This window comes from Homo sapiens, chromosome 1, assembly GCF_000001405.40.
Source record: "Homo sapiens chromosome 1, GRCh38.p14 Primary Assembly".
NCBI classification, from domain to species: domain Eukaryota; kingdom Metazoa; phylum Chordata; class Mammalia; order Primates; family Hominidae; genus Homo; species Homo sapiens.
This window is the reverse complement of record NC_000001.11, coordinates 152,077,295-152,104,378: the sequence shown is the minus strand read 5'-3', so window position 1 is coordinate 152,104,378 and position 27,084 is coordinate 152,077,295. Positions and strand designations below refer to the sequence as shown.

Below are 27,084 nucleotides of genomic sequence, written 5' to 3'. Positions count from 1 at the left end.
CTGGTTGCTCAAATATAAATCGTTTTCCCATTAAATCTGCCATAATTTATATGGTAGAGTAGAAAGAATGCTACAAGGAATCAAAAGCCTTGGGTTTATTCATTTATTCACTCAATAAGTATTTATTGAGCTCCTGCTATGTGCCAGGCATTGTTCCAGGCAGTATACATACAGTGGCTTGTTTCTTCACTTTACTATCTGTATGTCCTTGTCCAAGCCACTTAAGGTTTCTGGGCCTTCATTATTTTGTATTTAAAACTATGAGGCTGGAATAGCTATCACCAAGGTTATTCTCAGGACTGAAAATAAAATTATTTTAATACCAGCATTCAGCTTGTTCAATAGAAACTCTCAAAGAAACTCAAATAATGCCTAACATCAACTTCTACCTTTAGCTAACACACACAAAAAAAGGAAAAAATAAATGACTGATGAAAGTGATTATCAGAGCCTAGTTCCGGCTTCAAAGATCTTCCCTTCCTGCCCAATCACCTTTGAACTTCCCTCCATTTGTCTCCCAAACCCCTTCCCAGAGCCCCCTCCTATCATCCCACATTTATTCACTGAGGGAAAATACCCTAAACCTACCCCATTTTCTTTGACCCTGGTACTACCAAAGATCATTGTCCCTCTATTTATGAACTTGACATATACATTTAATTATTCTCTTTCTTTTCTGAAGAGAAAACTAAACTGAGTTCTAGAATTGGGTCCCACTCAAACTAAAATTCAGTAGTCAGTACTTAAGTACTGTAAGCACCCACCTCTGCTCCATCTTCTGCACTAATTGCACATTGCTAATATTTGCATTGTCATGGTAATTATAAGTTTTTTCAGCAAGTATACTCTGTCAAATATTATAATCTATGCAATATGTAATAAGCACTTTTCCCTTGTTAGTAAAGAGCTGACAGTCACATGCCATGATCTGAAACTAACCCAAAAGATAGATTTTTGAGCAGGTTATCATTTTCTGAACCCTTAAAACATCCATGACAGGAATTCAAATAACAAAAGATTTTAAAAATCTGATTTGTCACCACTCTTCTTTTAAAAAAAATTGTGTGGCAATTTCTGCAAGATAAAATCCAAGATTTTCAGTTTGGAATTTAAGGCCCTCCACTATTTAGTGTCAATTCACCTTTTAAACCCTGGCTCCCATGATAACTTCTGCAGCCAAGAATGTGCTCAAACCAGACTAGTCTATTTGTTGTCATTATGATGCCTTATGATTGTCTTTACTTCAAGGACATATTGGCATACTTTTATCTATTTGAAGTGCTTCTCTCCTTCCTGGCTATCTGGACAATTTCTATGCAGTTTATAAGACCTAGGCTGAGTCCCACCTCCTCCCTAAAATCTTTCCCTAATCACTCTGACACACAATGATCTCTCTCTTCATTGAGATTCTAAGACAAACATCTATTATCTTCACTACTCATTAATTGGTTACAATATTTTGCCTTAGTTGGCTTTATACTTTTTTTTATTTCAATAAGTTTTTGGGAAACAGTTGGTGTTACTAGTTGGAGTTTTGTTCTTGCTGCCCAGGCTGGAATGCAACGGCATGGTCTGCGTTCACTGCAACCTCCGCCTCCCAGGTTCAAGCGATTCTCCTGTCTCAGCCTCTCGAGTAGCTGAGATTACAGGAGCCCACCAGGCCCAGCTAATTTTTGTATTTTTAGTAGAGATGGGGTTTCGTCATATTGATCAGGCTGGTCTGAAACACCTGACCTCAGGTGATCCGCCTGCCTCAGCCTCCCAATGTGCTGGGATTACAGGCGTGAGCCACCATGCCTGGCTGAAGCTTTCCTAACTTCATGCTAAAATATGACTCAAGGACTCATGAGAATTAGATGCACAATGCAGACACTCAATAGATACATATTAAATGAGTGAACTAATATATCCTTTATAGCTCTTTTCTGTTGAGGGCCTCTATTGCCTATCTGTGAAATATGCAGCCCTCCCTTCTGAATATTGAATCCCTAAGTCCTTTCTTGTATCTTGAAAATTCCTCAACCTTGGGCATTACTGAGGCATTATTTCTTCTCCATCTATTTAAGTTCTACCTGGGAATTACAGTGAGCACTGGTCTTAGCATCTGTCAGTGCCCCTTAGTGGGATGAGAATGCAGGCATAGGTGGAGGGAAAGATGAGTTCTTGTCCCATGTATTGTTGGGGTGTGGGTGAAGTGAGAAACAGAAGTGAGATTTTAACTCCAGGTTGTGGCTGGTTTTCTCATGCACTTGAGTTCAAATGCAATTCATTACTATGAGGATTATTTTCCTTATGAAAGCCTCCTTTTCTGGTATATATATGTCAATTTTATTCCTCCTATTAACATTACTTTGACCCTATTTCTTATGAAATAATAACCTTGGTCTTATGCTAAGAGTACACTTGCCTCCCTTTTTCCCTGGAGCACCTTACAAAATGTCTTCACATTTGCTTTTTTTTTTTCTTTTACAGGGTCTCGCTTTGTCACCCAGGCTGGAGTGCAGTGGCATGATCTCAGCTCACTGCAAACTCCGCCTCCCGGGTTCAACAGATTCTTGTGCCTCAGCTTCCCGAGTAGCTGGGATTACACCTGGCTAATTTTTGTATTTTTAGTAGAGACAGATTTTGCCATGTTAGCCAGGCTGGTCTCGAACTCCTGGCCTCAAGTGATATGCCCACCTCGGCCTCCCAAAGTGTTGGGATTACAGGCATGAGCCACTGCACCTGGCCACATTAGCTTTAACATGTGGACCATGACCAAGTCAATCCCCAGGTTTCATCCCTGACCATATGTAAAGAGGAGATGGGTAGAAGTAGGCTAGTGAGATGAATTTCACACCATCTTGCTACGAATGCAATGGTCAGAGAAGCTCAGAGTTAATAACAACAGAAATATCTAACTCAGTTTAGCGGGGTCAACAAAGGCTTCCCTAAGGTAACTGGTGTTAAAGCTGAAACCTGAGGATAGGGAGGAAGTTACCCTGGTGAACAGGAAAAGAAAGAGTGAAATTAAGTCCGGAGGCAAGAGAAAGCACATTGGGTTCAAGGAAGTAAGCATTAAATCTGACTAGAACCTAGAATACCAAGAGATACATGGAAAACATGAAGTTAGCAAGGTTTATGAGGGCCTTGCAAACCATATTAAGTTTATCTTGAGGGCAACAAAAAATCATTGTCATTTTAAGCAGCGAAGTGATTAACCAGATTGACAGTTTATGAGGATCACTCAGGCTGCAGTGTGGAGAATGGGTTGGAGAGGGTCACAACGGAAACAAGGAAAACATTAGAAGGCTATTACAGTAGTTCCATAAGAGACAATGATGGCCCAGCTAGGATAGTGGGGGTGGGGAAAGAGAGCAATGAATATATTCGAGAATTAAAATCAGTAGAAGTTGGTAATATATTGAAGAGATGATGGAGAGAAGGAGATAAAAGATGATATTAGATTTATAGTTGGGGAAACTGAGTGGATAGTGGTGTCATCACTGAGATGAAAGCACAAAGGAGGCTCACTGTAGTGAGAGGAGATGACAAATTCAGTTTTACCTACACTGAGTTGGAGGTGCCTTTGAGGCTTCAAAAACTGATATCTTTTTGGCAATTGGTTTCATGGGTCTGGAGTTCAGGTGATAGGTTCAGATTTTATATGTAAATGGAAAATATCAACATATCAATAGTAATCAAAGCCATAGAGTAGATGAGATTATTCTTCAGGACATACGGGAAGAAGAAGATGGAAAACTGGCCGGGTGCAGTGGCTCATGCCTGTAATCCTAGCACTTTGGGAGGCCAAGGTGGGCAGATTACCTGAGGTCAGGGGACCGAGACCAGCCTGGCCAACATGGTGAAACCCCGTCTCTACAAAAAATACAAAAACAATTAGCCGGGCCTGGTGGCGTGTGCCTGTAGTCCTGGCTACTGAGGAGGCTGAGGCAGGAGAATCACTTGAACTCAGGAGGCGGAGGTTGCAGTGAGCCGAGATCACACCACTGCACTTCAGCCTGGGCGACAGAAAGAAACTCCGTATCAGAAAAAAAAAAAGATGGAGAACTAGTCTAGGACAGACCCTGAGGAACAGCAACATTTTTTAAAATGGCAAAAGTTAAAAAAAAAAAACTAACTAAAAAGGAGAATCGAAAGAAGCAGTCAGAGAGGTAGATCGAAAACCAGGTATGTATGGTGTCACAAAAGCTAGGAAAGAACATGCTGCAAGAAAGAGGAGGTAATTATCGTCAAGTATTTCTGAGAAGCCCAGTAAGATAAGTGCTGAAAAGCACCTGATGATTTGGTAACATGGTGGTCAGTGACGGTCAATGGAATGGGTTGAGGAATATAAGGAAAATAAGTAGAAACATAAAAAGATAAATTTTTCAAGAATACTAACTATGGCCGGGAATGATGGCTCATGCCTGTAATCTCCACACTTTGGGAGGCCGAGGCGGGCAGATCACCTGACAATAAGGATGCTACCTGACAACAATAATGTCCTCCTGCTAAGAAGAATGTCAGCAGTTTGAGACCAGCCTGGCCAACGTGGTAAAACCCCATCTTTACTAAAAATACCAAAAAAAATTACCTGGGCATGGGAGCAGGTGCCTGTAATCCCAGCTACTTGGGAGGCTGAGGCAGGAGCATCACTTGAACCCAGGAGGCAGAGGTTGCAGTGAGCCAAGACCATGCCACTGCACTCCAGCCTGGGTGACAGAAAGAGACTCCATCTCAAAAAAAAAAAAGAATAGTAACTATGAAGGGGAGCAGAAATGTCAAGTGGGGTTGTGTGCACAAGGCAGGATTTAGCAAAATGAGCAAGACTTGAGTATGTGTAAATGTTAACAGGAAAGAACCAATAAAGAAAGACTGAAGTATAGAAAAGTGAGGGAATGATCAACATAGCAAGTTTCCCAAGAAGGCAGGAGAAGATAACATCCAGGGAGACAGATTATGCTTAGATGAACACTTTTCTATGTAACAGAAAGAAAACATGAATGCAAATAAATGCCAGCAAGTTTGTGATTCCATGAAAGTTTAGGAATTTTGACTTGTTGATTTTTCTTTTCTTTGTTAATTTTTTATGTCAATAGCTTTAGGGATACAAGTGGTTTTTTGTTACAGGGATGAATTACATAGTGCTAAAGTCTAGAATGTTAATGCACCAGCCACCTGAGTAGTATATGTTATACCAAGTAGGTAGTTTTTCATTCCTCACCCTCCTTACTTCCTCCCTGCTTCTGAGTTTTCAGTGTCCATTATACTACTCTGTATGCTTTTGTGTACCCATAGATTAGCTCCCACTCATGAGTGGGAACATGCGGCATTTGGTTTTCAATTCCTGAGTTAACTCACCCAGAATAATGTCCTCCAGTTCCATCCAAGTTGCTGCAAAAGACATTATTTCATTCTTACTTATGGCTGAGTAGTATTCCATGGTATGATTTTTATTTTCTTTATAAAATAAAGAGACAAGACCACGTTTTAAGAGTGAGAAGGGAAAGGAAGGGGTCAAATAATTAAAGAGAGTAGAGATGGTTTAAAATAACTGTTGTAGAACACAGAAAACTAACCATAGAAGCTCTATAATCACCAAAAAGTGAGTTTCCATTTGAAGTTAGAAATTATGAATTTGTCATGGCACCAACGTATTCAGCTGTGGGACTTTTCTCCAGCCATGCTCAGTAGCACAGATGCAAAAAACAGAGTGAGACCCAACCAGGGCTGAGATTTTTTCCTGGCAGGTGTGACTGAAAGATAAACAGGGAGAGGGAACTGAGGATACCAGCAAGAAATGGGTTTGTTGAAGTAATGGACCATGAAATCTGTATCAGTCAGTGTTCTCTAGAGAAACAGAATCGCTTTCATATAAATAGTGTGTACATTTATTTTAAGGAATTTGTTTACCCAATAAAAAAGGCTGGCAAGTCCAAAATCTGCAGGGTGGGCTGGCAAACTTAAGACCGAGGGAAGAGCCAATACTGCAGTTCAAGCCCAATAGTCATCTGGTCGCAAAATTTCCTCCTACTAACAAGTATGTTAGTCTTTTATTGTTTTTTCTATTCAAGCCTTAAACTGACTATATAAGGCCTACCCACATTATGGAGGCAATCCTCATTATTCAAAGTCCAGATATTTAAATGTTAATATCATCCAAAAACACCCCCACAGAAACATCCAGAATAATGTTTGACCACATATCTGGGCACTGTGGCCCAGCCAAATTGACATATAAAATTGACCATTACAGAATCTAAGCATGGAAAAAAAAGTGAATACAGTCAGAGACTGAAAGATAAATGTGTGGACTATGGGTTCCAAAGAGACAGAAAGTGCAATGTATTGAGAATCAGCAAATGGGAGAGCTTTAAGGAGAGGAGGCAGTGGAAAACAATTGTGAAAACTAAAGGTATTATTCCAGTCACTAGATGGTCTGCTCAGCATCTCTGGAGAGCTGACAGTGAAAGGCTTTCCCAGACAAAGCCAGTCTCCAAAGACTGGAATAGTACTCACTTCTTCAAATGCATAGACCACCACATAGACACAAGGATCAAGAACATTCAAGGAAACATGACATCACCAAAGGGAGAAAATAAAGCACCAGTCACTGATCCTAAAGAAATGGAGATGTATGAACTACCTGACAAAGAATTCAAAATAATTTTTAAGGAGGCTTGGTGAACTTCAAGAAAATACAGTGAAACAATTAAATGAAATGAGAAAAGCAATAAGTGACCAAAACAAGAAATCTAACAGACAGATTGGCATTATAATCTTATTATTACAGAGATGGAGGGGATTCCAAGTAATGATAAGTTCCAGGGTAACATATAACAAAATAATACTTCTTTACAAGATGGTTAGACCAATATTTTTCCCTGCCATTTTTTCCAGACATTTAAAATACTGATTGGCCCAGTAAATATATTTGTAACCAGTGTAGAGTAAAACAGATTCATGAGCTTTTAGAGCTTGGAGGGGACTTGTTATTAACTGAATGCTTGTATCCCTTCAAAACTCATCCCTAACCCCCAGTGTGAAAGTATTAGGAGCTGTGGCCTTTGGGGGTGATTAAGTTATGAGTGTGGAGCCCTCACGAATAGAATTTATGCAGTCATAATAAGGATCCCAGAGAGCTCTTCCACCATGTGAGGGTACAGGGAGAAGATGGTCATCTATGAACCAGGAAGCATACCAGGTTCATAGGTGGACATCTACGAACCAGAATTTAACCATGCTGGCACCCTGATCTCAGATTTCCAGTTGCCAGAACTGTGAGAAATAAATTTCTGTTATTTGTAAGCCATCCAGTCTTTGGTACTTTGTTATAGCAGCCTGGGCTGACTAAGCGAGGATTCTGGTTATTAACAGGGAGGTAACAGTATAACAGGAAGAATTCAGTTGTTGGAGTCATGAAAACCCAGTCAGTTTACATAATATCTTTAAGCTGCAATTTCCTTATAATAATCCATAATTATCAGGATTATGAAGAGTAGAAATAATGTATGCAAAATATAAGGTAAGTAGTCAATAAATGAGATTACTATTATCTAGCCCATCCACTTCAGTTTTCATGAGGATACTACATCTACAGAAGTAAAGACTCAAATTTATAGAACTAGAAATAGGAATAAGTCTAGTTCTTTTAATTCTGGTATCTTTCATTTTAGTACACTTCTCTCAAACTTTTTTCACTAAACAAATATTTACTGAGCACTTCATATGTTTCAGGCACCGGGCTGGTGATATAACTGTGATCAAGGTAGACATAGTCCCAGCCTTCCCATGGTTGTTAATTCAGCGGAATGCACTACAAACCAAACATTTTTGCTAAATGTCTTTACAGATGTTACTTCATGTAATTAACATTACAATTCTGGAATTCTGGACAATGTTATCCCCCTTCCCCATTTCTGAATAAGGAAATCAAACTCAGAATAGTTAGAAACTTGTGTAAGATTAGATAATTACTGAAGTTCAGAGGTAGATCCATATGGACTTCCTCATTTGTTCATTCAACAGTTATTTCTTGGTCATCTAACAGGCATTGAAAGAATTCCTGCAATATGGACATAAATACACTGTGCATGTTGATTATACAAGGGCCTCAATACGCTATTAAGTGCTTGCACAACTCTTGAAAACATTTTTTCTACTTACACACAAAATGATATGGTAGCTATAATAAACATCAGCCATTTCATTTTCAAAACTGTGCTTGTTAAAAAGGGCCTTTTAAGAAGGGATAATTTGGAGGAGACTATGGCTCTTTAAAAGTTTGATTACAGTGTGCACAAAGATTTAACTACAAGATATTCATCATACCATGACTCATAATAGTGAAAAACTGGAAACAAGATATCAAAAAAAGGATGGTTACATATTCTGTAGTATATTCATAGAATGAACTGCTATGTACATATCAAAACATGTAGAAAGATACTTAATGTACTAAAAATCTGTTCATCTTATAAAACAAAGAAAATTACAAAATGGTATGAACAGAATGATTTCAGTTTTGTAATAGCAATTTGAGAGAAAATGAGAAAAAATATATACACAAAATGTAAACACTGGTGATATATGGATGATAAGTGGTAGAGGTGGGTTTTGAAACAAGATTGTCTAATTCTAACTCAAGTGGTTTTTTTTATTATATTTCTTCTAGAAAAGCTAATTACCACAAATAATCTATAATTCAGTCTCTACCTCCAGGTATTTAAAATGCAGTTGGGAAGATAAGGTTTGCACACATAAAATGCTTATTAAGTAAGGATAGTTGATAAATGTTAATTTCTCCTCTGTATATTCTGTAATAGGTATTCATAAAATCAAAAAATTATTATATTAAACTAATTCAGAATATAAATGATAACATATCAAATAGTATAGAAAAGCTTACCATAAAAATGAATAAATAAATAAGTGTCCTGCTCCACATTTCTTCAACCCCAGTCCCATTCCCCAGAGGAAAAGTTCTCTTTAAATGTTTTATGTTTATTCTTCTGGCAGCAACCTCTGAGAGTAAAAATTACCAATTTTAAGTGATATCTCCAGTATGGCAGGCAAGGATTTAAATCACTTGTACACTACCTCGCTTCTCTTTATCTCAAGGTTTGATGTTTTTATTTTTCAATTTTGTTACTTATCTAATTCTAAATAATATACTTATTTTGCTTTTTCCCTCAACTTTTGACAGTATCATTTACATTTTTACATTTCTAATACAAGCAAATATGCCATATTTTTTCCATGGACAGATGCTAATATTTGATGATATGGGTTGGCTGTGTCCCCACCCAAATCTCATCTTGAATTGTAGCTCCCATAATCCCCATGTATAGTGGGAGGGACCTGGTGAGAAGCAATTGAATCATGGGGGTGGGTTTTCATATGCTGTTCTTGTGATAGTGAATAAGTCTCATGAGATCTGATGGTTTTATAAAGGGCAGCTGCCTTGCACATGTGCTCTTACCTGCCTCCATGTAAAATGTGCCTTTGCTCCTCCTTTGCCTTCCGCCATGATTGTGAGGTCTCCCTAGCCATGTGGAACTGTGAGTCCATTAAATCTCTTTTTTTTTTTTTTTCATAAATTACCCAGTCTTGGGTATTTCTTCATAGCAGTATGAAAACGGACTAATACACTAGGTAACCAATAAATATCTATATTGTGATATTGAGCATATAGGCATAGAAGTAAGACTGCCTGAGAGCAAAAACTGGGTTTACCACTTAATAAATTTATAGCCTTGAGCAAGATAATTGACCATTCTTTTCCTCATTCTTGGTGTTCTAAAATGTCCAAGGATAAATCTAGTGAACACTTTGTGGAAGTCTCTAAGAAATATTCACCAATTCTTTGATAAATGTATTTCCTTTTTTCCCATTTTATCTTTCCAAGTTTCTTATTACTTGAAAGTGGGATCTCTTAAGTTGATTATATATGTTTCTTCTTTTCTCCCACCTCTTACATTTCTTTCTCTTTTTGTTGTACATTCTAAACTATATTGTCCAATAAGGTAGTCACTAGCCACATGTGGCTGCTTACATTTAAATTTTAATTAATAAATATTAACTAATATTAAAAATTTGGTTCCTCAGTCACACTAGTCCCATTTCAAGTGCTTAGTAGCCATATATAGCTAGTGGCTACCATACTGGACAGTGCAAATATATAAAGTTCTATTGGATAACACCATTGCAAAAGATTTTGTCAACTTTGTTTTTTTTTATTTTAGAAGTTATTTTGAATCTAAAAATACTTTTTTGTTCTCCAGTTGCCTCTTTTGCCTTTTGGTCTTGTCTCATTTAAACTCTTTGGAATACATTAATTAGAATTGTTTTTATTTATTTTTAAATTGATAAACCAAAGTTGCACAAAAAAGTATTGTACTTGGAGGATGGACACCCTAAATACCCTAACTTGACCACTATATGAATTTTGTTATATACATGTAACAAAATTTCACATGTACCCCATAAATTTGTACAAATGTTTTACAAAGAAGAAAAGACCTATTTAAATGAAAATAATAAGAAAAGTTTCATATATTTATGATGTACAATGTGATGTTTTGATACATGTATAGATTGTGAAATGATTACATCAAGCTAATTAACACACCCATCACCTCACATGCTTATCTCATTTAAAATCTACTCTGTATGCAATGTTCAAGTATACAATACATTATTATTAACTATAGTCATCATACTGTAAAATAGATCTCCAGACATAATTCTCCTGTCTAACAGAAATTTTGTATCTTTTGGCCAACATCTCCTCATTTGCCCTTTCCACGCAGTCCCTGGTCACCACCATTTTACTCTCTGCATCTATCAGTTCAACCTATGAGATATGCAGTATTTATCTTTCTGTGCGTGGCTTATTTCACTTAGCATAATGTCCTTTAAGTTCATCAATGTTGTCATAAATGATAGCATTTCCTTTCTTTTAAAGGCTGAATAGTATTCTATTGTGTGTGTGTGTGTGTGTGTGTATATATATATCACATATATATATCACATTTTCTTTATCTATTCATCCATTGATGGACACTTAGGTTGTGTCCATATCTTGGCTATTGTGAATACTGTGCTGCAGTGAACATGAGAATGCAGATATCTCTTTGACATACTGATTACATTTCCTTAGGATACATAGCCAGAAGTAGAATGCTAGGGGTTAATATACAAAATATATAAGGAACTCAAATAATAGCAAGTAAACAATCCAATTTAAAAATGGGCAAAGGACCTGAATAGACATCTCTCAAAAGAAGATATACAAATAGCTAACATGTTATTTGAAAAATGCTCAGCATCACCAATCATCAGGTAAATGCAAATTAAAACCACAATAAGATATCACCTCACACCTTTTTAAATGGCTAGTATCAAAAAGACAAAAGACAACAAGTTTTGGCAAGGCAGTGAAGAAAAGGGAACCCTCGTACACATTGGTAAATATGTAAAGTGGTACCATCATTATGGAAAACAGTATGGAAGCTCCTCAAAAAATTAAAAATATTAATTAGAATTTTTAACTTTTCTTCTGTTATCTGAATTATTTCTATTTCCTCTAGGGTCAGTTTTTTTAAGTGCAATATTGTTCTTTCTCTTTCCAGCTGTTGACTTATTCATATGTTTAAATAGTCTTAGTTGCCCATTTATATCAATAAAAAGATCTGGTTTTTCCTGATTTGCATAAATAGGGCCATTTTTACACTAAGTAGGAATTTTGTGGCAGGTTTGGGGAAAAGGTCTTTCAATTTGCAAGTAAATGGCTATCAGGCTACAAATTTCCCCTACCTCTAAATGCTATCATAAAGCAGGTTTTCCTGTAGCAACAATATTAATACTAGATGTCTTTCAGACAGTCTATTAGTTGGTCAACAAATACTGACAGAGCACCTACTACAGTCCAGGTACTCTCCTAACTTCTGAAGATAAAGTGGAAAATAAAGCACACAGAGTCCTGCCCTCAAGGAACTTACATTTAGTATTTGTAAGAAGTTTGTCCAATTTCTTTAGGAAACAGTCATGTGGAATTTTGCTGGCGAGATTAGAAAGTAGATGCCCATATGTCTATGTTCCATACTGTAAAGTGGAGGAGAGAGATGGGAATGACCACGGAGAGAGAGTCCCTTATACAAACCTTCAACTACTGTGCCTGTTTACAGCCCCACTTCTCATTCATACTTCCATCATACCTGCTAATTCTGAGTGCAGTGCTTTTCTAGGTTCAGATTTGCCTTCACCTCTGCCATGCCCTCATAATACATTCTGGGCTGAGGCCTTTCTCCAATTATTTCAGTCATGAACATTCTACCATCCACTTTCCATTTTCCATAAATTTATTGAAATCTCTTACTCAGTTATGGTTCTCCTTTATTTCTGTTTATAATTCCAGTTTATTTTTTTCTTTTTGTATATTGATCCTTTTAGAAGTTTAGGGACTTTAGAATATACATTTTTTTAGTCCATCATCATCTTGAACAAACTCCTGTTACTTCTGTAAGTAAAAAAGATACTGAAAATATAAATATAAGCTGAAGCCCTTTTTTGCTTGCCAAATTTTCCAGTATTACAATCATTAAAAATTGTTTTATTAGCCATTTCTTTTCAAAGTAGCCATCATAGGTTTTATCTAAAGTCCTCACTCAAGATTTCAGTTGTGGCCTTTGAAGAGTAATTGGCTCTTAAAGATAGTTCTATATTAATCAATATATTTTCGTTGTGTTCTTCTCCCTCAGCCTCCAACTCCACCTTGCCTCTTCCTTTCTATACTATCCCCATATAAAATTAGACAGGGCTGTTAGAGGGATTTGTTTTGAAGGAGAAGAAAGGGCAAACAAGATCTTCTCTTTGGTAATGGTTGATTTGTTTGTGGCTTTTTGTACAGCAATCCAAATACTTTTTTTTAGCACTGGACAGAGAGCAATCTCTTTCCTCCTGTGGCCATCCCTCTTAGTCACCACCCACCCAGAGTATGGATATTAATTAAATGGTCTTGAGTAAGCACTAAAAAAGCAGGAATGCCTATAAAAGAGTTACAGAGCCACTGTTTAGAGACAAGGCAAGATCCAACTCTAACTTTCTAAATAGAAACAATAACATAAAACTATAGACATTTAAAGTTGAAAGAGTTCTGTACCATTCACTGTAAGCCACTCCTCTCTTACGTCTTCCCATGGCAAGACTTCTCCCAAAACCTAGCCAACAGATCATGATTCAGCCTGTATAGGAACAGTTCATTGCTCTAGTAGTGGCCCAAGTCATTGTCAGACAACTCTGCTCCTTAGAAAGTTCTTAAGAGCTGGAGTCTGCTTTTTAGAAAGTTTTAAGCATTGATTCCAGCTGTATTACCGGGCATTACACAAATAAGAAACTCAAGGTAATGAAAACACTATGACTTCAGAGACATACTTTCTTTTTTTTTTTTTTTTTGAGACAGAGTCTTGCTCTGTCACCCAGGCTGGAGTGCAGTGGCATGATCTCGGCTCACTGCAACCTCTGCCTCCCGGGTTCAAGCAATTCTCCTGCCTCAGCCTCCCGAGTAGCTGGGATTACAGGTATGTGACACCATGCCCAGCTAATTTTTGTATTTTTAGTAGAGATGGGGTTTCACCGTGTTAGCCAGGCTGATCTAGAACTCCTGACCTAAGGTGATCCACCCGCCTCAGCCTCGCAAAGTGCTGGGATTACAGGCGTGAGCCACCACGCCTGGCCCAGAGACATACTTTCTTGAAACCTTTCATTTCTGAATCCTGACTCTGCCATTACCTAGTAAAGGTACATATCTGTAGGCAAATTGCTTAACAGCCTTAACTTCCTTATCTGTTAAAAGAGGATAATAACTACCTAAAAGGGCTGTGAGGATTAAGATAGCCCATGTAAAGCTCCTGACATGTCATAAGTTTTCAATAAACATTAATTCTTTTCTCTTCCACACCCATAAAAATCCTTCAAGTATTTGAAGACAGTTATTATGTCTCCCATAAGTGTTTCTTTCCAATCCAGCCTTGAATATACCCAGTTCTTCATGAGACTGGCCCATGAGCTCCAGAGCAGGAAGATATAACTTACTCAACTCTAAACACTCCAGTTCCTGGCATAGTGTTGAGAAATAGCTGGTACTCTGGGGATATTAACTAATCAGAACTAAGATGACCTTCACATGCCAATTCCAATTCCCAGAAGTCTTCTCCCTTTGGGAGGATGCTGAGAAATTGTTTGTAGGTGTAAAGTATCAGTATGAATGTTTTTCCCCAAAATTTAGTTCCCTTGTATGTTCCTCGATAATCAGGAAATTCAGAATAAGGTTTTTGCTCAATAGCAATGCATCCCTTAGCTTCAGCTTTCTCATATAATTACCCCCATTCCCACCCCATCTTTAACTTGGTCTGTGTCTTTTATATTTGTTTGCATTGATCTGTCTATTTCTTCCATCCTTTGACAAGGAGTGTTTTAAAACATACTCTATTTTTTAAAAATATCTAAGAAAACCATTGAATCTAATTCTTATTTTATTAAATATTCTCTACTAAGAAGGACCCAGATCTAGGAGACAATTAAAATGTTTGCCAGTTCAGCATCTCAGACTCACTTCTGTTCTCAGCTTGATGATTTCAACATCTCCCTTTCCCCTTTACAGGGAGAACACAGTAATATAGATTATTGGTTTCAAGCTCCTTGTATAGTAAAAATGTCTTTAGAAAGCAAATATCAATCACGTTTTTAAAATAGCACAACATAGGTAAGCAAGGCTTTGCACACCAAGCAAGAATTTTTTTTTTTTTCTAACTCTGCCTCTGGGCAAGGAGAGCAAAGCATTGAAACATCTGAATCAACTGGTATCTCCACTTTTGTCACATGGCTAAATGGGGGCCTTTATTTTTAAACACATGATTGACACCCATCTCTCAGGTTTGGGTCAAATACGGGCCATCTTGTGGGCAGACAGAGGAATCAGATGACTTATGAGGTCCCTGCCAGCACTATGATTTGTCAGACAGAAATGTAATTATGTCCTTAGGTTAAAAAATGGGGGAGGGAAGCCAACACTACCTTGAAGAGCCTTCAAAACTATAATCTGCAAAAGTCAGTAAATGAATCAAGAAACCCCCTCCCCTTTCTTTTGATGCATCTGAAGCTAAGATTTAATTGAAACTGCCTAAAGAAGGAAATAAAATTAAGACAACTGACAACAGAGCAGGGGAGACTGGATTTGGTGGTGATGTCAGGTCATTAGACCCAGAGGGTGTCTCCTTCTTAACTGTGCAATTAGGACCTCAATAAAAGGTTCCAGCTCCTGCTGTCAGCTCACAGCCCGCTGCCCCACGTTCTACCTGCTCTCGCTTGTGAACTAGGTAAGTCCATCTGCTTGAGCATACTTGGGATTTCAGTTGCTGTTTTGCTTATATGTGAGATTGCAAGAGGATTTCAAAGGAAACACACTTTAAGTCTATGTCAACCCCTATTAATAATAATAAACTGGGAGCGCCAACCACCCAAATGCATTCCTTGATTATGGAACTTCTTTGATCATTTTCTTTTTAAAAAAAACATAAATTGTTTAGAAGTCATAGGCATGAATATTATTCAACAAGGCACAGGATCAGATCTCTATTGCAATGAAAATGTAGAAGCATTTAAAGGATGGGAAATGAATGAATAAGGGGTCGGGACATGGAATCATGTCTTCTTGGTTAAAGCATGTTGTTACCACCTGCAAACATAGGGGTTAATTTTCTTGGTGTGACTTATCTTTCCACTAGAAGCTTTGCTAACTTTAAAGGTTATACCCTCCTAACCGCAGGAGGCTAGACTGAGCCAAAGGGAGAGGAGAGCAGATAGACACTCTTGGATGAGGCTGGAAGAATGGGTCCAACTCTATTGGCTTCATTTATGCATTTCAATCCTTATGCTTGAGTTCTCTTATCACCTTCCTTTTGCAATGAAGCTTTCTCTGAGCACATGAATGTTGCTGTTTACTGAAGAGTGGGGTGAATTGTCTCTTCTAATACTTACCTATGCTGGGTCTGATTTCACCACAATGTCTGGTACAATACTAAATCACCCCTGGAGTTCAGATATAATATTTTAAGATACAGAATAGAGCAGGGGTTGCAGTGGAGATGGGGGAGGAACAAAAAGGATAATCTTGGTATCTCCTCCCTGAAGGACCCATCCTGGAAAATGAGCTTTGTTTATTCTTTCTCACAGCCTCTCCTGAGTTTGTAAAGATGCCTCAGCTCCTGAGAAATGTCCTCTGTGTAATTGAGACATTCCACAAATATGCCAGTGAGGACAGTAACGGGGCAACACTGACTGGCAGAGAGCTGAAACAACTCATCCAGGGCGAGTTTGGGGACTTTTTTCAGGTGAGCTTCTCACAGAGCTGTGTAAATTCTTTCCAACTCACCCTTTCTTTATAATCCAAGCAAGATGAGCATATGTGATCCCCATCCATTTTACACCTAGCTAACAGTTCTCAGCACTCACTGTCTCTTGAACAACTATTTTCAGTCTCAGTTCCATACTCTGTGCAATTACTTAGAGAAAAAGAGGTTTTCGTCACTGGGATTATTGCTTCTGCAAAGCTGACTTCTGAAAGGAGTCATAAACCATTATGCATCAAAATGCAACTCACAAGTGTTGTAAATGCTCTTTCTCAGGCATAGCTCTCTGATGAAAAATGGCTTGCAGAACCAATAAGTTCTTGCTGTTCTGGGAAAGTTAACCAGTTACTGAGGAATGAGGTCAGAAAAATAGGATTCTTGGGAGACACTTAGGACACTGGACCACATATAAATAAGCTGATTTCTCACTGTGTTTTCATGCAGCCCTGTGTCCTTCATGCTGTGGAAAAAAATTCAAATCTTCTGAATATTGACAGTAATGGCATCATCAGTTTTGATGAATTTGTTCTTGCAATCTTCAACTTGTTGAACCTCTGTTATCTTGACATAAAATCATTACTAAGTTCTGAACTAAGACAGGTGACTAAACCAGAGAAGGAGAAGCTAGATGATGTGGATGTTCAGGCAACCACCGGAGATGGTCAGTGGACAGTGGGAACTTCACCAACTCAAGAAAAGAGGATGCTTCCTTCAGGAATGGCATCATCATCTCAGCTCATCCCTGAAGAAAGTGGAGCAGTTGGAAATAACAGAGTGGACCCATGGAGAGAAGCCAAGACTCACAACTTTCCAGGAGAAGCATCTGAACACAATGATCCTAAGAACAAACACCTGGAAGGAGATGAACAAAGTCAGGAAGTGGCTCAAGATATACAAACAACAGAAGACAATGAAGGCCAACTTAAGACAAATAAGCCAATGGCAGGATCAAAAAAGACCAGCAGTCCCACAGAGAGGAAGGGACAAGATAAGGAGATCTCCCAGGAAGGAGATGAACCAGCCAGAGAGCAAAGTGTTTCCAAGATAAGAGACCAGTTTGGAGAACAGGAAGGAAACTTGGCAACCCAAAGTTCACCACCAAAAGAAGCAACACAAAGACCATGTGAAGATCAGGAAGTTAGAACAGAAAAGGAAAAACACTCTAATATACAAGAACCACCCCTACAAAGAGAAGATGAGCCCAGTTCACAGCATGCTGACCTGCCAGAACAAGCTGCTGCCAGGTCACCATCTCAGACACAGAAATCAACTGATTCCAAGGATGTCTGTAGAATGTTTGACACTCAAGAACCAGGAAAGGATGCTGACCAGACACCAGCTAAAACAAAGAATTTGGGTGAACCTGAGGATTATGGCAGAACATCTGAGACCCAAGAAAAAGAATGTGAAACAAAGGACCTGCCAGTCCAATATGGTAGCAGAAATGGTTCAGAAACATCTGACATGAGAGATGAAAGGAAAGAGAGGAGAGGTCCTGAGGCCCATGGAACAGCAGGGCAGAAAGAACGTGACAGAAAAACTCGGCCACTAGTCCTGGAAACCCAAACACAGGATGGGAAGTATCAGGAACTCCAAGGATTATCAAAATCAAAAGATGCTGAAAAAGGTTCTGAGACACAATATCTAAGCTCAGAAGGAGGAGATCAGACTCACCCTGAACTTGAAGGAACAGCAGTCTCAGGAGAAGAGGCAGAACACACCAAAGAAGGCACAGCAGAAGCATTTGTGAACAGCAAAAACGCACCTGCAGCAGAAAGGACACTGGGGGCAAGAGAAAGAACACAAGATTTAGCACCACTTGAGAAGCAGTCTGTAGGAGAAAATACTAGGGTCACCAAGACTCATGACCAACCAGTTGAGGAGGAGGATGGTTACCAGGGGGAGGACCCTGAGTCACCATTCACACAGAGTGATGAGGGGTCTTCTGAAACTCCCAACAGCCTGGCTTCAGAGGAAGGCAATAGCAGCTCAGAGACAGGTGAACTGCCTGTGCAAGGGGACTCCCAGAGTCAAGGGGACCAACATGGAGAGTCTGTGCAAGGAGGTCACAATAATAACCCAGATACCCAGAGGCAGGGAACACCTGGTGAGAAAAACAGAGCTCTGGAGGCAGTGGTACCAGCAGTCAGAGGAGAGGATGTACAGCTCACAGAGGACCAGGAACAGCCTGCCAGAGGAGAACACAAGAATCAAGGCCCAGGGACCAAAGGCCCAGGTGCAGCTGTGGAGCCCAATGGACACCCAGAAGCACAGGAATCCACAGCAGGAGATGAAAATAGAAAGTCCCTGGAAATAGAGATCACAGGTGCCCTGGATGAAGACTTCACTGACCAGCTTTCCCTAATGCAGCTCCCTGGAAAGGGAGATAGCAGAAATGAATTAAAGGTCCAAGGCCCAAGTAGCAAAGAAGAGAAAGGAAGAGCAACAGAGGCCCAGAATACTCTGTTAGAAAGTCTAGATGAGGACAATTCAGCCTCCCTCAAGATACAACTTGAAACAAAGGAACCTGTAACATCAGAGGAGGAAGATGAAAGTCCCCAAGAGCTGGCAGGAGAAGGTGGTGACCAAAAAAGTCCAGCCAAGAAAGAGCACAATTCTTCAGTCCCCTGGTCAAGTCTTGAAAAGCAGATGCAGAGAGACCAAGAGCCCTGTTCTGTGGAGAGGGGTGCAGTCTATTCCAGTCCACTATACCAGTACCTACAGGAGAAGATACTGCAGCAAACAAATGTAACCCAAGAGGAGCATCAAAAGCAAGTTCAGATAGCCCAGGCATCAGGCCCAGAGCTTTGCAGTGTATCCCTCACCAGTGAGATCTCAGATTGTTCTGTCTTTTTCAACTACAGCCAAGCATCACAACCATATACCAGGGGACTTCCACTTGATGAGAGTCCTGCTGGTGCACAGGAAACACCAGCTCCCCAGGCCTTGGAAGATAAGCAAGGTCACCCTCAGAGAGAGAGGCTGGTACTACAAAGGGAGGCAAGCACCACAAAGCAATGAATCATTATCATCTCAACATGCCCCCAATTTCTCTCCCAATCACCCTCAATACTCACGTGTACACATTCAGATGCAGATTAACAATCTTTTAAATTCTCTTCCTAAATTTCTACAAAAACAAATAATAAAATATTCAGCAGTGGGGGACACCACTAAAGAAACATCTGAGCAAACAAATACAGTCAGTAAAACTCCTACCAAACAATGCTACTTCCAAATGCCAAAATGGGCTTTGTCATGAGACAGTTTATCTCAATGTACCTGTCATTAAAAATGGAAAAATTCCTTCCATATCTTTAGCAGGTGCCAGTTTTTCCAACTGATTCATTGAATTTAAAATAGAGCAGTAGGAAATTATAAGACTCTGCAATAATATCTCATAATCATAAAATATTAATTCATATATATAGATTACTCTGCTTCATGACATTTCCTAGAAGTATTTCAAGTTCATCCTAAAATTTTATCCTTCAAAATAATTTTAGACAATGCCATAACTTAATTATGATTTTCTAGCACTTGATTAAAGTAAATTTATGACTCTGCTCATGTTCAGGTGCAGCTGAATCTATCGCCATGGATTCATTCTTTCAATTACTCATCCAACAAATTTTTATTAAATCCCACTCCTTACACAAACTTTTCATAGCTTTTGGCTCAAATAAACAATCAAGAATAATTATGAGAGAAAACACAAATCTAAAGTATGTTTGATTTTATAAGAAGCTCTTGTAACCAACCATCCAGTGAGTCTACTAAGTGTTTACCTATATGGTTTGATGAGGGTATTAAATTAAAATTGATAATTAAACAACCTGATGATCAATTTCTTTTGTTGGGTCATTTTTTTCCCCTCATTCTCCGTCTTGCCTTGGAGACACTGATCAAAAACGAAAACAATCTTAGTTATTTGTGTTTTTTCAAAAGACTATAATTAAAGTATGATGCTCTTCAAGCTTAGTCATGACCCAGGAAAGGAATAAAATTGTTATCATACAATGTTTCCTGAAGCCAAAAAGCAGTCCAATACTCCATCTCCCATTGCATTCTGCCTTCGAGGTTCAGTATTCTTCCACTTCAACCTTCACATTTTCCAGAGCCTAAAATCCAAGTATATAACCTCCCCCTCCAATATTTTCAGCTCTTTTCATTCTACACTCAAATATGAATTATATCCCTATCTGAAAAAAATATTACTTTAAATGAGCAAGAAACATGAGACAATTCATAAAAAAGAAAAATATATATATTTCTTTTAGTTTGTCCATGCTCTAATATACATACACATACACAAACATACATATGTACTACACTAGAGCATAGACTTACTAAAGGAAAAAATTATATACATAATTTTTAGTTTATAAAATTATATACATAATTTTTAGTTTATAAAATTATATACATAATTTTTAGTTTATAAAATTATATACATAACTTTTAGTTTATAAAATTATATACATAACTTTTAGTTTATAAAATTATATACATAATTTTCAGTTTATAAAATTATACACTAATTTTTAGTTTATAAAATATACATAATTTTTAGTTTATAAAATTATATATAATTTTTATTTATATATAATTATAGATAATTTTAGTATAAATAAATATATACATACTAGAGCATAAACTCGTCATCCCTTTTGGCAAGCAATGTGGCAATAAGTATCTGAGTCCATAAAAATGAAAAACTTCATTATTAATAAATTCACAAAAGAAGCTATACAGATGGCCAATAAACATTCGAAATCCTCACTAGAATTGAAGAAAATGTGAATGACAAAACAGCTCCAGTGGCAGTGGTGCTGGCAGTCATAGAAAAGGATGCACAACTCACAGAGGAACAAGAACAGCCAAAAAGCAGAAACGTTTACCTATATGGTTTGCTGACGGCATTAAATAAATGGGCAGTGGCTCATGCCTGTAATCCCAGCACTTTGGGAAGCCAAGGCAGGAGGATCACTTGAGCTCAGGAGTTTGAGACAAGCCTGGACAACATAGTGAGACCTAATCTCTACTAAAATAGAAAAAGAAATCAAAATTTTCTGTACTAAGCATATTTTATTTTCTTAACTGAAAAAATTAAAAACTTAATAGCAACAATTTTTAAACACTCTCTTAGCATTCCAGCAATCAGCACTAATAGAATGGTGGGCAGAAAGAAGAAAAGTTTGCTGAATATATATATATATATATATATATATGTTTTTGCCATCATCCTTCAAGAAGTATTCCTTTGAAGGTGATGTTGCCCTCCATCCAACAAGCCTAAAGACCTCCAGCTTCCACAGTTTTGGACATCGGGCATTGATGACTGTCTTTCATGAAATACTCCCTTCAGTGGTCTTTCCCCATCTCCCTAGTTAATTCCTCTCATCCAGTGCCCAAGACTGTGCCCCCTTTCCAAGGACTCTTCTTTTTATGAACTTTCTCCTCGTGAGAACCCATGCTTGGTCCAACTTACTATTATCTCTTTCACACTGATGAGTCTCAATTCACCTTGTTCAAACCTGACTGTGCACTTCAATCCAGTCTCTACAAATGCTCACAGATATGACGCCTTCTATTGTCAACCACTTCCAGACAAACTGGCTTGTCTTCTCAATTTCCTTCCTACTGTCATTCTCTCAATCTTCATTCTATCATGCTTCAAAGGCACAAACTTTGGAATCATCATTTACCTTGTCTTATTCTTCATATCTAATCCACTTTGTTATCTCAATAGTTTTTCTTTTTTTTTAACTTCTTGCCTTTTAATAATATCTTTGAATATAGATGGTTTCAATTCTCCAATAACAAGATGTAGAGTGGTCAAATGGTTTTTCATACATGTTTTCCTAGTCCAGACACCCAAAAGTATGTCCCTCTCTTGGGCATAAGAAAACCTAGAGTTATATTTAGGGCATCATGTGTGGTGAATAGTTGACCGAGCTGGCATGCTCACAATGACCAAATTATGTTTGTCATATTTTAATCCAATACATTGATCTACTATGAACTTGTAAATAATGTATTTGCTTTCTAGACACATTCCAGGAAGACCAGAGAAACTGACTTTTATCCATATGGAATAATCCACTGGCAAATTTCTTTTAGGACAGACCAAAGCTGATCTAGAACATAATCTTTACATACTTGGATCCTTCCCATCAAACAAGAAAGAACATCTGGGGTGAAAGGCTCCATTAGAAGAGTAATGTGGGATGGTGCTGTGCTGACAACTGGTAGTTCCTGCCCTACATCTTTGTAGAGGACTGGAGCCCAGAGCATGCCATGGTCAACTTGTATGCTGAAGTGAAGAACTCCTTCAAGGTGTGCATGTGCTTATTACAGATATGCCATGGTGCTAAGTACCCCAGGACTACAGGAAAAAATAAGAATAGATGCTGTATCCATGATCATGAGGCACACAGGCCAGAGCGCCAGCTGTGGAATCACACAGCCCAGGTTCAAAGCCTGGCTGGGCCATGACCACCTGAATGACCTGAGGAATGGTCTCAGGCAAATTTGTAAAAAGTGGAGACACTGCCTGCCAGGGAGGCATGTGGTAAGAGGCGCATCCAGTCAGGTCAGGGCACCGCGTCCTCTCTTTGGAAACCTGCGGAGCGGGGCTGGTGGCCCTTGAGGCCACAGCAGCCATGGAGAAGGCGGGCCTGGCTCCAGGCGGCACAGAGGCACTGGAGAGGACCCGGGGGAGCCTAGCGGGATCTGGCTGGTCCTGCGCTCTGCTTCCAGGTTCTGGCCCTGTAACCCGGGAGACAGGGCCGGCCAAGACAGGGCCACTGGGTGCCAGCCAGCACCTGGGCCGGGCGCCAGGCGGAAGGGCTCTGGCAGATCAGCCCCGCACCCCCAACAGCCCCACAGGGGGGCCCATCCAGGGCCACACACCTGCCCCCAGGAGCAGGACGTCCCTGAGGCTAGAGTCCAGCTGGACCGGTGGAAGGGTCTCACCCTTTGCCCTTTTACCCCTCTTGTAGGCACCCTCGCTGGGCTCCTAAGCACTCCTCCACAACCCTGGCTCTGTCACCAGCCCCATGGTGATGTCATAAACTCCCAGATGCCCAGTGTGCACCCGGCCACAGAGAAGTGGGTGACTTAGGAGTATCCTCTCTGCTTCTGACCCTTAGTTTCGTCTGTGCACAACTCGCTCAAAATGGGCAACTCACTAAGCGTATTTTGTTCCTGGTTCCGCCGCAGGTCCTGGCCATGCCATCGGCAACCTGCTTGTCTTGTCCGTGAGGCCTTCCCAGCTGGCCGGGCTCACCCAGCGGCTCCTGCACCTGTGCCTGCCCGGGGAATCGTGGGCCGTTTCCCACTCCTCTTCAACCGTCAGCGACATCTTGGGCCTTCTTTTCCAGTCAGGTGGGATGGCGCCCCTATGAGGCTGTGTCTTATCCCTCAGAACACGGGCACCCCACAGAGGGTCCTGCCTCCTGTGGTCTGGAGCCCCCCTTCAAGGAAGAAACCCATGCTGTCTGCTTGCAACTCCATGATGTTTGGACACCTCAGCCCCGTGAGGATCCCTCATCTGAGAGGCAAGTTTAACCTTCAACTTCCTTCATTAGATGAGCAGGTGATCCCAGCCAGGCTCCCGAAGATGGAGGTGAGGGCAGAAGAGCCCAAAGAAGCAACGGAGGTGAAAGACCAGGTAGAGACCCAGGGGCAGGAGGACAATAAAAGGGGCCCCTGTAGCAATGGGGAAGCAGCCTCCACCTCTAGTCTCCTGGAGACTCAGGGAAACCTCACTTCCTCCTGGTACAATCCCAGGCCCTTGGAGGGAAATGTCCACCTCAAGAGCTTGATAGAAAAGAACCAGACTGACAAGGCCCAGGTGCATGCAGTGAGTTTCTACTCCAAGGACCATGAAGTCGCCAGTTCACACAGCCCTGCTGGAGGCATCCTTTCTTTTGGGAAGCCTGACCCACTTCCAACAGTGCTCCCTGCCCCAGTTCCGGGCTGCTCCCTGTGGCCAGAGAAGGCGGCCTTGAAGGTGCTGGGTAAAGACCACCTGCCCAGCTCTCCAGGCTTGCTGATGGTGGGGGAGGACATGCAGCCCAAGGATCCTGCAGCTCTTGGATCAAGTAGGTCTTCTCCATCCAGAGCTGCCAGCCACAGTTCCCACAAAAGAAAACTGTCGGAGCCACCGCTGCAGCTGCAACCGACCCCTCCCCTGCAACTGAAGTGGGATAGAGACGAGGGGCCCCCACCGGCTAAGTTTCCATGTCTATCTCCTGAGGCCCTGTTGGTGAGTCAGGCTTCCCAAAGAGAAGGACGCCTCCAGCAGGGCAACATGTGTAAGAACATGAGGGTGTTAAGTAGAACATCAAAATTCAGGAGACTAAGAGAGCTGCTTAGGAGGAGAAAGAAGAGACGGCAGGGCAGGTGTGGTAGCTCACACCTGTAATCCAGCACTTCGGGAGGCCCAGGCAGGTGGATCAGGAGGTCAAGAGATTGAGACCTGAGAAGCATCTCTGCCTGCACCATCTGGGAAGTGAGAAGCGCCTCTGCCCGGCTGCTCCACCGTCTGGGAAGTGAGGAGCGCCTCTGCCCAGCCACCCCACCATCTGGGAAGTGAGGAGTGCCTCGGCCCAGCCCCCGCCCTGTCTGGGAAGTGACGAGCGCCTCTGCCTGGCTGCCTCACAGTCTGGGAAGTGAGGAGCACCTCTGCCTGGGCCCTGCCCCATCTGGGCAGTGAGGAGTGCCTCTGCCAGGCCGCCACCCTGTCTGGGAAGTTAGGAGAGCCTCTGCCCGGCCCCCTTACACTCTGGGAAGTGAGGAGTGCCTCTGCCTGGCCACTGCCCTGTCTGGGAAGTGAGGAGCGCCTCTGCCCAGCCACCCACCATCTGGGAATTGAGGAGGAGCACCACCTCTGCCCAGCCTCCACCCCATCTGGGAAGTGACGAGCACCTCTGCCTGGCCGCCTCACGGTATGGGAAGTGAGGAGCGCCTCTGCCCAGCCACCACCCTGTCTGGGAAGTAAGGAGCGCCTCTGCCTCGCTGCCGTCCTGTCTGCAAAGCGACGAGTGCCTCTGCCTGGCCTCCTCACCATCTGGGAAATGAGGAGCGCCTCTGCCCCGCTGCCATCCCATCTGCGAAGAGACGAGTGCCTCTGCCCGGCCTCCTCACCGTCTGGGAAATGAGGAGCGCCTCTGCCTCGCCGCCGTCCTGTCTGCGAAGTGAGGAGTGCCTCTGCCCTGCCTCCTCAACATCTGGGAAATGAGGAGTGCCTCTGCCTGGCCACCATCCCATCTGGGAAGTGAGGAGTGCTTCTGCCCAGCCGCGGCGCTGTCTGGAAAGTGAGGAGCACCTCTGCCCGGCCCCCTCACCGTTTGTAAGGGAGGAGCACCTCTGCCCAGCCCCTGCACCGTCTGGGAAGTGAGGAGCTCCTCTGCCCGGCCCCCTCACCATCTGGGAAGTGAGGAGCGTCTCTGCCCGGCTGCTGTGCAACCTTCCAAGTGTGAAGTGACAGCCTTGTGTGTGATCTTTCTGCCCTCCCCAAGTTTGCATTTTCGACATTAAAGTTTACTTTTTAATTAAAAAAAAGGAGATCGAGATCATTCTGGCCAACATAGTGAAACTCCATCTCTACTGAAAATACAAAAATTAGGTGGGCATGGTGGCTTGTGCCTGTAGTCCCGGCTACTCAGGAGGCTGAGGCAGGAGAATGGCTTGAACCCGGGAGGTGGAGGTTGCAGTGAGCCGAGATCGCACCATTGCACTCCAGCCTGGTGACAGAGCAAGACTCCGTCCTGAAACGATGTTGTAGTTGAGAGCAGGATGGTCTTTTGGGACAGGAGGAACAAGAGGTTCTGGTTGCCACTCTTCAATTAGTTCTTCTTTTTCCTTGACTGTTAAGATCAGATCGTTCTTGTAATTTGTAAGTCTTAGAGAAAAGAAGTCTGATTATCCAGAGTATCAGAATCCCTTCCAAAATAAAATGGTAAGCAGGAGCCTCGTAAAGCGCCTGTACCATCTCCACCAGAACCCACTGCTCAGTGGCAGTCGCCATAGTTAGCCGCTTCCTCTATAGTTTTTCTTAAGTCTATATTCTAGATCCATCTTTCATTCTCCATTCCCTGTAGGACTTCATGTACCCTTCACCTAAAATGATATCTTTCCCTGCAACTTTTCCTGAATGACCAATCCCGTTTGTCTTATGGGATCTGATGCCAATGACACTTTATTCATTCATTCCAAATTTTCTTTAAAAAAAAAATCCATGTTAGTGCCAGATATTAGGTGAAGCATTAGGGATACAGCAGTGTCCAAAACAAGTTAGCTCGTCATCTTGGAGCTTGTATTCTACTGAAGGAAGGGAGAGACAAACAATAATAAATAAACCAGACAATTCCAGGTAATAATGGAAGATAATGTGATAGAGAGGAGGCAGGGGAGCAGGGAGGCAGAGGCAGGCAGGACGCAGCTCTAGAGTACTACTTGAACCTTTCCTGATGCCCTGGCCAGAGGAGATCTTATCCTCCTCTGAACTCCATAGTCTTTATTTGCGCTATTTTAAAAAATCATTCTGTATTGAGTTATAATTATTTGTGTGCTTGTCTAAGCTCTCCTTTTAGACTATAAACTCCTTGATGGCAAGGCTCACAACTTACGCATCTTGCTATTCTTCAGTAGCATGAAGTTTAGCGCCAGATTTTTTTTTTTTTTT

At 41.0% G+C, this 27,084-nt stretch overlaps 1 protein-coding gene and 2 pseudogenes across 2 annotated transcripts; 2 read left to right on the top strand and 1 right to left on the bottom strand.

Annotated features, from left to right (window-relative positions):
• Positions 15,315–20,238, top strand: TCHHL1 (trichohyalin like 1). Its single transcript, NM_001008536.2, has 3 exons — positions 15,315–15,359; positions 16,216–16,373; positions 16,836–20,238. The coding sequence occupies exons 2-3, from the start codon at positions 16,236–16,238 to the stop codon at positions 19,410–19,412; spliced, it is 2,715 nt and encodes a 904-aa protein (NP_001008536.1). The 5' UTR covers positions 15,315–15,359; positions 16,216–16,235; the 3' UTR covers positions 19,413–20,238.
• Positions 20,239–23,571: 3,333 nt separating this feature from the next.
• Positions 23,572–24,822, top strand: LOC100131107 (putative UPF0607 protein ENSP00000383783; annotated as a pseudogene). Its single transcript, NR_172723.1, has one exon. The product of NR_172723.1 is annotated as a putative UPF0607 protein ENSP00000383783 (transcript).
• Positions 26,129–26,442, bottom strand: SPTLC1P4 (serine palmitoyltransferase long chain base subunit 1 pseudogene 4; annotated as a pseudogene).

Excerpts from the sequence above, each read along its gene's own strand:
- TCHHL1 (NM_001008536.2), top strand. The coding sequence starts at position 16,236 with ATGCCTCAGCTCCTGAGAAATGTCCTCTGTGTAATTGAGACATTCCAC. Across the intron at positions 16,374-16,835 it reads AGTTTGGGGACTTTTTTCAG|CCCTGTGTCCTTCATGCTGT; the intron begins GTGAGCTTCTCA and ends GTTTTCATGCAG.